General features: G+C 47.0%; 1 annotated feature.

Moving 5' to 3' along the window:
• Positions 8,555-8,849: a silencer, noted in NCBI's record as "tiled region #3559; HepG2 Repressive DNase matched - State 12:CtcfO, and K562 Repressive DNase unmatched - State 12:CtcfO". NCBI's record gives its function as "represses a minimal TATA promoter and a strong SV40 promoter by Sharpr-MPRA in HepG2 and K562 cells {active_cell/tissue: HepG2 | K562}" and the evidence as "EXISTENCE:reporter gene assay evidence [ECO:0000049][PMID:27701403]".

An 8,985-nucleotide genomic window follows, 5' to 3' on the forward strand; every position in this document is an offset into this window, starting at 1 on the left:
AAGGCATTGTACAATTGGAGGCTATTTGAATGAAATAGTTTTATTTTTTATTTTTAAAGCATTTGATTTGTCAATTTTTTTAAATAACCTACAAAAGGAGCACAACTTAACAAAGTGAAAGGGATCTCTTCCCCTTGGCTTTAGATAGATTTATTTCACACTGGCTCCAAACAGGTCAGATGCTATCAGGTGGAGACAGAAGCAGCACAGAGCACTGGCAGGGGATGCTGCCCCTGGAAGAAGCCAGCAGCTCTCATGCCTGCAGGATCTGGCAGGGCTGCTTTCCTGAAGAGGGTGAGGACAGCACAGACCTGGGGCAGAGAAACCTTTGGTCTGACCAAAGGTTTCTGGTCCAAAGACCTGGTCCAATTGGAGAAGAGTATTTAACGTCCCCGAAGCCCTCTTCTGTAAATGGAGATGACAATTCCACCTGGTAGAATTAAATTACACAATATATATAAATTCCTTCTGCAGAATAGAGTGCATAGGGAATTTGTGAAAGGTCTTCTTATAATGATTGAATGATGGGGAATGAGTTGACAAAGGAAATGCAGGGGTCAGTCATGTCTGCGAGGTCTTTTGTGCATGCTGTTTTCCGCCTCTGTAGAGAAGCAACATTTATATTGACTTGTTTGGGGTCCAGATGATGCCATGAAAAAAGGCATCCTTGTGTTGGTCAAGAAAAGATCACTAAAAGGATGTTTTCTTTGACTAACCTTGTTTCCCTAATCTAATTAAAGCAATTGAGCTATTTAGTCATTATACACCCTCTGTATTCTGATTGGGCCTTGGGGACAATGAGCAGATAGAGGGAGATCCCTTCCTTCTTTTTTCCTCTCCCCATGCTTGTGGAGCTGGAGCTGTCAAGAAGCAGGAGGGTGTCTCTGGAGGAGGTGGAGCACTCTACCAGGGCCATCTAGGGCTGGGAGCACTACCCTAGACCCACCCTGGCCAGCCCATGCCTCTGAGGGTCCTCACACAGACCCTCTGTTTCCTGCCTCGTGTTCTCATCTGGGCTCTCCTCTCAAAGCTGGACAAACACTTCCTGTGAGGAAGGCAATCCCTACTTCCCAAGCTCTACTCAGATGGGAAACCCTACTGTACCCCCAACCGATTCCATCCATCCTCAGATTGAAGAGTTGCTATTAGTGAACCAGCCAGAACAGGGGATTGGGACGGGTGATTGGGGCCATTTCCTTCCCTAATTGCAGCACTCAAATACATGGTCCTTGTTTCCTCATGAGTGTAATACATTGAAATGGGCAAGTAGGCAGAGAAGGAGGTGAAACAACGCTCTGGGGTGTGTGTGGTGGGTGTATGTACAGTGGGAGCACTGAGAATTTGTCTCTGTGGGTTCTGAGCAGCTTCCTGGATCCATCCATCATCGATTAGTTGATGGTCAGTCCCAGATGGAGTGAGAGGCAAGGCATCATCAGTCTGCCCTGTTCCCCATGCTTTCATAATCCCTTGTCTAGAGGGAAAGTTCAATCTTTTTCCTCTTTAAATTATATCTGCATATTTACTGAATAGATTAGATGTTCACATGGTTCAATATTTCAAAGGCACCAGAGTATACAGTGAAAAACTTCTTCCTCACCTTAATTCCCAATGACCTTAAGTATTCCCAGTTCCCTCTGAAGAAACACGCAGTATTACCAGTTTCCTTTTTTTTTTTTGAGATGGAGTCTTCCTCTGTCTCCCAGGCTAGAGTGCACTGGCACAATCTCGGTTAACTACAACCTCCACCTCCCAGGCTCATGCGATTCTCCAGTCTCAGCCTCCCAAGTAGCTGGGATTACCACCTAATCCATGCCTGGCTAATTTTTGTATTTTTAGTAGAAACAGGGTTTCACCATATTGGCCAGGCTGGTCTCACACTCCTGACCTCAGGCTATCCTCTTATCTCTGCCTCCCAAAGTCCTGGGATTACAGGCATGACCTAGCACACCTGGCCTCCTGGGCATTCTTTCAGGTATATTTACATATTTTTTCTCACTTGTTAGTCACCATGGCATTGTAGCTTTAGGTTAATTGCAAGTAGGTGCTTGCTGGAGCCAGGGTGAGTCCCTGACCCTTCCCTGTCCCTCACTCTTGGTGCCACCTGAAGGGCTGCATGGGGACTGTCATTTCCAGGTCGGTAACATGGTGGGCTTAGCCAAGCCCTCTGGCTCAGGATCTCTCACTGGCCGCAATCGGGGGAAGCCAGAGAAGCATCCACTGCATGCTAACTCAAGTAGCAGTCTGCAGGTTGCAGGTCCTCAATGGCTGCTGGCCATAGACATCAGTTTCTTGCCACTTGGGCCTGTCCACAGGGCCACCCTCAGAGTGAGCACGGATACAGTCAAGAGAGAGCAAGATGGAAGCCACAGTTTGTATCCTGGTCTTAGAAGTGACATCGCTCACCTTCACATGAGGTTGTCAACTCCAAAAGGCCAGGGTCATTGGAGGCCACTGTAGAGTATCCCACAGTAGTTCTAAAAAGAATGTATTTTAATGCTTGTGTAGTGTTCCATGCACCATCATTATTTAACCTCATCTTCATTGATTGGCATTTAGTTTTTATTATAAAAATGCTTTAATAAACATCATTTCACAAATATCCATGGTATCTGTGGGAAAAATTCCAGGTATTAAAATAATTTTTTTTTTGAGACAGAATCTTGTTTTGTTTCCCAGACTGGGCTTGAACTACCGAGTTTAAGTACTCCTTCTGCATCTGCCTCTCGAGTAGCTGAAATGACAGGTGTGTGCATCGCCGGCCCTGGTATATAGGTGAAGTTTTTGATTCCCTCTTTTCCCTCATGTCCACCCAATCCATCAGGACATCCCATGCTTCTAGCCCCAGAGTGAGTCTCCAGGGCCTGCTCCTCAGTAAGACTCAGGAAGGTGTGGAGCCCGGTCCGCCTCCACCTCGCTCTCCACACCCCGTCACCAACTCTCTGAGACACACACCTGTCTGCAGCATCCTCACGCAGGCCCTCTGTTTCCTGCCTCTTGTTCTCATCTGGGCTCTCCTTTCATAGCTGGACAAATACTAACTCATGCATCACCACCTCCAGGAAACCTGTGTGGATTTCCTGGGCTAAATTTCCCCATCAGGGTCCCATGATATCTCGTGCAGGGCTATATCTTCAACACGGATGCTGTTTCAGAATGACTGCTGGCGTGTCTGTCCCTGTCTCCCTATAGCCCGAGAGCTCCCTGGGGACAGAAGTCTCCCCTGTTTCTCTGAAGCTCTAGTGCCTCAAGTGGGTGCCTCGTGCCAGGTCACTGCACTCTGATGGTCAATACATGAAGAATGGATTAAATATGCCCCAGTGGCAGTCATTTAAAGTAGAATTTTCTGTCATATTTGGGACAAATAAAAGGAACGGTCAGTTCTGAATATTATGCCCCCACCTGCTGCGAAGTGTAATTTTATTCCTGGAGTTTGCCCCCTTGGGTTCCACATCTTTTTCAGACAGTGTTGGGGCACAGATGTGGCCACCTGAGAGCTGCTGAACTTTCATCCTTTCCAGGTACTCCGCCAGCAGCCTTGTGTCAGTGAGACCCTTAAGGGTCCTTCGTCCCTAGGCTGAGTCACAGAGTCCATGGCTGGCTCTTTTCTGGACCTGGATAACCTGGCCTTCCCCAAGGCCTCTCCAAGGGCTGTCCCCTCATGGCCAGCTGTGGGGGACAGAAATGCAGGTTGCCTCAGCAGCCATCACAGCCTGTTCCCCTCGGGATAAAGAGACTGATGGTGACCCCTGTGAACCAAAATTCTAAGGGTCAGCATAGTGAGGAGTGGTAGGAAAGGTGTGGACTGAATTCCATTTAGGTGGGTTTGCGATTGACCCTCCTAACTCTGTCCACCCTTGCTATGTGACACTGAGCAAGTAGCTCAACCTCTCTAAGCCACTGTTTATTTACTTGTAGAACAGGCATCAAAGAGACCTGCCCCAGGGGACTGCTGAGGTGATTCAGTGAATAATGATCCTGGAAATGCCTGGTGTGGTGTCCAGGAAAGGAAAGCCCAGCCCAGCCCCCACCACCTCACAGAGCCTTAGTCCCTCAGAACACTCTTCCACTCCTTCAGAGCATACTGTCCAGGTTGTGGTTTTATACTCACTGGAGTTAGCCCCATTCTCAGCCCCAAGTATCTAGTTTCCATACTAGACCATGAGCTCTGAGAGCTGGGACCATTTTGAGCACAGTTTTGATCACTGCCTAACCACAGGGCACTCAACAAATATATGTGGACTTGACAAATGCTGGTTCCCTTCCCTTGATGGCCTTGACTCTTTTCCTTTCCCATCCAAACATCGCGCACTGGCTATAGAACAATCACACTTCACAGACACGGAGGACTTTCTACCTGCCATTGTTCCAGTACCTCAAACATATCATAGCGAGTCTCCACAGAGCCCTGGAGGAGGCACTATTGCTCCCACCACACTAACGAGAAAACTGGGAGCTTAAGTAAATTGCCCTAAATCACTCTATTTGTAAGTAGGAAAGCCAGGATCCCTGGCCTATTCCAGCCAGAGATCAAGCTTCATTTCCTCTGTAGCTGGTTTCATGGGGTAGGGGGAGTCCACCAATGGGGCAGTGCTGCTGGGGGCAGGCAGGAGCTGGTCAGCCTTGTCCAGGACACACAGAGCCCAGAGCTGTTGAGCATCACCAGGGTCCCCCAACTAGGGGCTGCCCTAGAGACAGGAAAGTGGCCCAGAGGCTTTGTCTGATTATCATCACCGGTTCTTCACAGGTAGGTGCCCATCCCGGGCTGGTCCTCCCAAAGGGGGCTTAACCCAACAATTTCCTGGACATGAGCAACATAAATAACCAGGGGACCCCCTCTAACTTCCCAGCCAAGCAATCAGCAGAGCCGCAGGAGCAGTAGCCGAGGTGGCTGTACCCAGCCCCCACCCTGGCTTGGCAAGGGGAAAGGAGGGCATGAGACAGCAGCCAGAACTGAATGGAGGCAGGGAAAGCAAGGCTTTTTATTGAGACAAGATCAAGGGAATGAGCCTGGTGGATCCCAGAAGTCACTGAGCAAGAGCATAGGTCCAGGATGGAAGAGCAGAAAACTCAAGAAGAACACAGCAGTGATCTCACATCACCACCTGAGGCAGGGGCTTGTCTATGGCTGGGAATGCCTGCTTTCCAGTGTGCCATGTGAGCACACAGCCACCTTAAAAGGACCAGAGATGGATTAGGCCCACGGGGACAGGGGTAAGAACGAGAGGCAAAGGAACTCCTGAAAATCAGCAGCCACGATGGAAAAGTGGGCAAAGGATAGGGACATGTAATTTATAAAAGATTCCCCCATATCAAACAAGCATATCAAGAGATGCCCAAATTACAGTAAACAGAAATATACTGTACATTAAGGCAATAATGAAATAATATTTTAAAACCACTCAACTGAAAAAATTTAGAAACCTGAATATACGCAAGTGTTGATGAGGATGGGAGGGAATAAAGGAAGTGCCACATTGGTCTTCAAGAGAGAATGTAGCTGCACTTCTGCAGAAGAATAAACATGTGCCAAATCAAGCACGTTTATTCTGTGACCCAGTTGTTCTACTCCTGGGAATAGTTCTCAAAGAAATTCTCACCTACATCCATAAGTGGCATATACAAATTTATGCCCTCCAGCTTTGTTTGTACTGGTGGCAATTCAAAAGCAATCCAGAAGAATGAATGCATAAAGTGGTTTTAATCAACAATTTGGAGAACTACAAAGCAATAAAAATTGTTAAATGAGTCATACAAAGAGCAAAAGGAATGTGTCTTAAAACACAGTGTTGAGAGAAATGGTTAAAAAAAACCCAGAATGTAATATATAAAACAACACTATATATAGGCATTAAAAGACACATAATACAAATAAAAAACTCAGCAATATATATTTTGCAAGACCCAAATGAAAGATACATATTACACATTATTGCCTTTGGGAAGAAGGGAAGTGGGAGTGGTCTATGGAAATAGAAGAGATAAAATTGATCATTAGAAAGATGGGATCTTACATGGAGCAATGATCATATTGAGGAATATGAGTAACTCAACCTCTTGTACCTGAAGTAAAAAGCAAAAGCGAAAAACCATGGTGTGCTTGGGAGCCTTTGCTGGTGTAGGGTGCCTGAGCACAGGGTGGGTGTGAAGCTGTAGGGTGAGGCTGTGGGTGACAATCAAAGGAAGGGTCGTCACTAGGGGCCACATACCTGACATTGTTAAATGATGCAGTCAGACGTGGAGAATGGACAGGCGTGGGGAAACCAGTTACAGTGCCATCGCCATGACTGAGGTGGGGGTTGGCAAGCTTCTGGTAAGAGCTAGAGAGCAAATATTTGGCCTGAAGACAGTGGCCTGGGGGTACAGGGTATTGGGATCTGGGTCTGGTTGGTGGCAACTGGAAGAGAAGAAATGGTGCCAGATATGAAAGTTGCCAAGGGGACAGAATTGACCAGACTTGATTCCCAGGTTTTGGGGAACTAGGATGGTGAGTGGGACCATCAACCAGGACAGAAAATCTGGAAGGAGGGGGAGTGAGCTTGAGGGCAAGAGTTCATTTCTAGACTTGTTGAATGTGAATGCTTGTGCAGCATTGAAGAAACGTCTAGTGCTGGATATCCAGTGTCCAGCTCTGGAGACCAGAGGAAAAGGTGAGCTTCAAATGCAGATTAGGGCGAGTGGCCAGAATGGCTGGTTGTCCACTGGTATTTGTTCACCACTTCCTCCATCCCAGCCAGGATATCTCTGTGCCTGAGGGGAGCCTGCTCCACTCCCAGCTGGAAGGGCCCTGGTTGATTGAGCTGTTCCATTCCCCCTGCCATGGTCATTGGTTTGGGATTGGGCATATGATCCAAGAAGTCCAATCAAGGTGAGCCTCAGGACTCCTACGCAATATCCATATTTTACCAGCTTAATACCTCGTGTGTGTGTGTGTGTGTGTGTGTGTGTGTGTGTTTCTGTGTGTGTGTGTGTTGTGAAAGGAAAATAAATCTCAGGACCCCCGAAATCACTAAGCCAAAGGGAAAAGCTAAGCTAGGAACTGAGTCAGGCAAACCTGCCTCCCATTTTAGTCCTAAATAAGATAGCTACAAAATATATTTTTTTAAAGCTACATTCTTCCATCACGATTTGCCCACAAGGAAATTCTTTGTAGATCGCAAGATCTTTACCTGAAAACAGTTCTGTTGAATTTCACCCTGGCAATGTGAATTGATAGTTTATGTTCACAGGTGTGGGACAAAGGACAGACAGAACTCAAAGTCATCCCTCTGCTCATCTGAGACAAATGCATATCTAATTGCTTCCTCTGCCTTATTGCTTTTGTAAAGATGCAGATTCACTGAGTCAGATTAAGGCATAAGTGACTATTATTCTATCCCCTCCCACATGTAAATTGTGTATTCAGGGAAAGGCTGATCAAAGACCTCAAAGAATGCAACCTTAGGTTTCCTGTCCACCTATGACCTAGAAGGCCCCACTTGGAGTTGTCTTGTCTTTCTGCACAGAACCAATGTACATCTGATAATATTGGTTGATATCTCATGCCCCCCTCAAATGTAGGAAAACAAGCTGTGCGCCCACTACCTAGGGCATCTGTGGTCAGGACCTCCTGAGGCTGTGTTATGGGCACACATTTAACCTTGGCAAAAAACAAAAAACAAAAAAACCTTTCCAAATTGATTGAGACCTCTCTCATACTTTTGGATTTATTGTTTGTGTGTGTGTGTGTGTGTGTGTGTGTGTGTGTGTGTGTGTGGTGTGTGGTTTGGTTCTATGAAATTTTATCGTGTGTAGATTTGTGTAATCACCGCAGCAATCATTTATCAGTATTATTTCTTGGTCTATATGTTCAGTAATGGTTTCTTAGGGGCATCTTTAATAGATACTTAGGGCCATGGATTTGGATGAGATTTCCCAGGAGAAGGTGCAGAGAGAGAAAAGGAGAAGGCCTGGAGTGGAATGCCAGACAGAAGAGGGGCTTTGCTGTGACCCCTGGTAGAAGCTTCCTGGAGAAGGGTCTATGAGGGTAAAAGACCCCAGAGCCATGTGGTCTGGGGCCTGCCCTGCTCTGCTCTTGGCAGCCTCTGACCTGGGCTTTTCAGACAGGTCTATTTTCAAATGCTCTGCTCATAGGTCCCATAAGCCGTTATCCCTAAAATGCCAACATTTAGGTGCCTGAGCTACACTTCCTAGAAAGCAGTTTGCCTCTGGGATGCTTTGTCACTTCATATGTACTAAATTTGGGCTGGAAAAATGGAGCTATAGTTGTAGAATATATCAGTCAGCAAGATTTAACAACTGTAGCTAAAGTTTGCTGAAGGGACCCTGAAGTTACCACTGCAAATCTAAACACTGGGGTTTTTTGCACCCCCCAGCACAGGGCCTGGCACATTAGCGACACTCCGTTGTGGAGCTCGGTTGTTTGTGGTCAAATTCTACAATCTTGGCATCTTTTTTCTAACAAGAGAGCAGAGCGCATAGCTGCGTGGAATCTCCTGCGAGCCTCAGCAAGTTAACTCCCAGGAAAGTAGGGAGGACGCTTTTCCTCAAGGGAGAGAGAGGTTCCCTACTTCTTGAGTAAAAATTTCATGCTCCACATATTTTTGTTCAGTCATGTGAGCATGAATTCTTCAGTCTGTGAATTCTAAAGTTGGAGGATTCTGACAATCACAGCCCCAGACACACACAGTGGAAAACGCTCCCGTCCTTCGCCGGGCAGAGGCAGCTCCTGAAATAAAGCAGCAGCGCCCCCTGGTGGCAGACCTCAGTGCTGCATCCCGTGGAAGGCCAATACCCTCCTTAAGAGAGGTCCTGCTTGGTTAACCCACTCTCAGTCCTGGCCACTTCCCAAAGGCACCTGGCTTACCAGCCTCAGAGGCTCCTAGCTCCATTCTCTCAGCCTGCCCAGAGAGAGCCTGGTGTGACTGAAGGAAGTGTGGACCTGGGAGATAGGAACCGACTGACACTGCTCCCTGATGTTTGTGCTTC

This window comes from Homo sapiens, chromosome 8 (assembly GCF_000001405.40).
Source record: "Homo sapiens chromosome 8, GRCh38.p14 Primary Assembly".
NCBI lineage: Eukaryota > Metazoa > Chordata > Mammalia > Primates > Hominidae > Homo > Homo sapiens.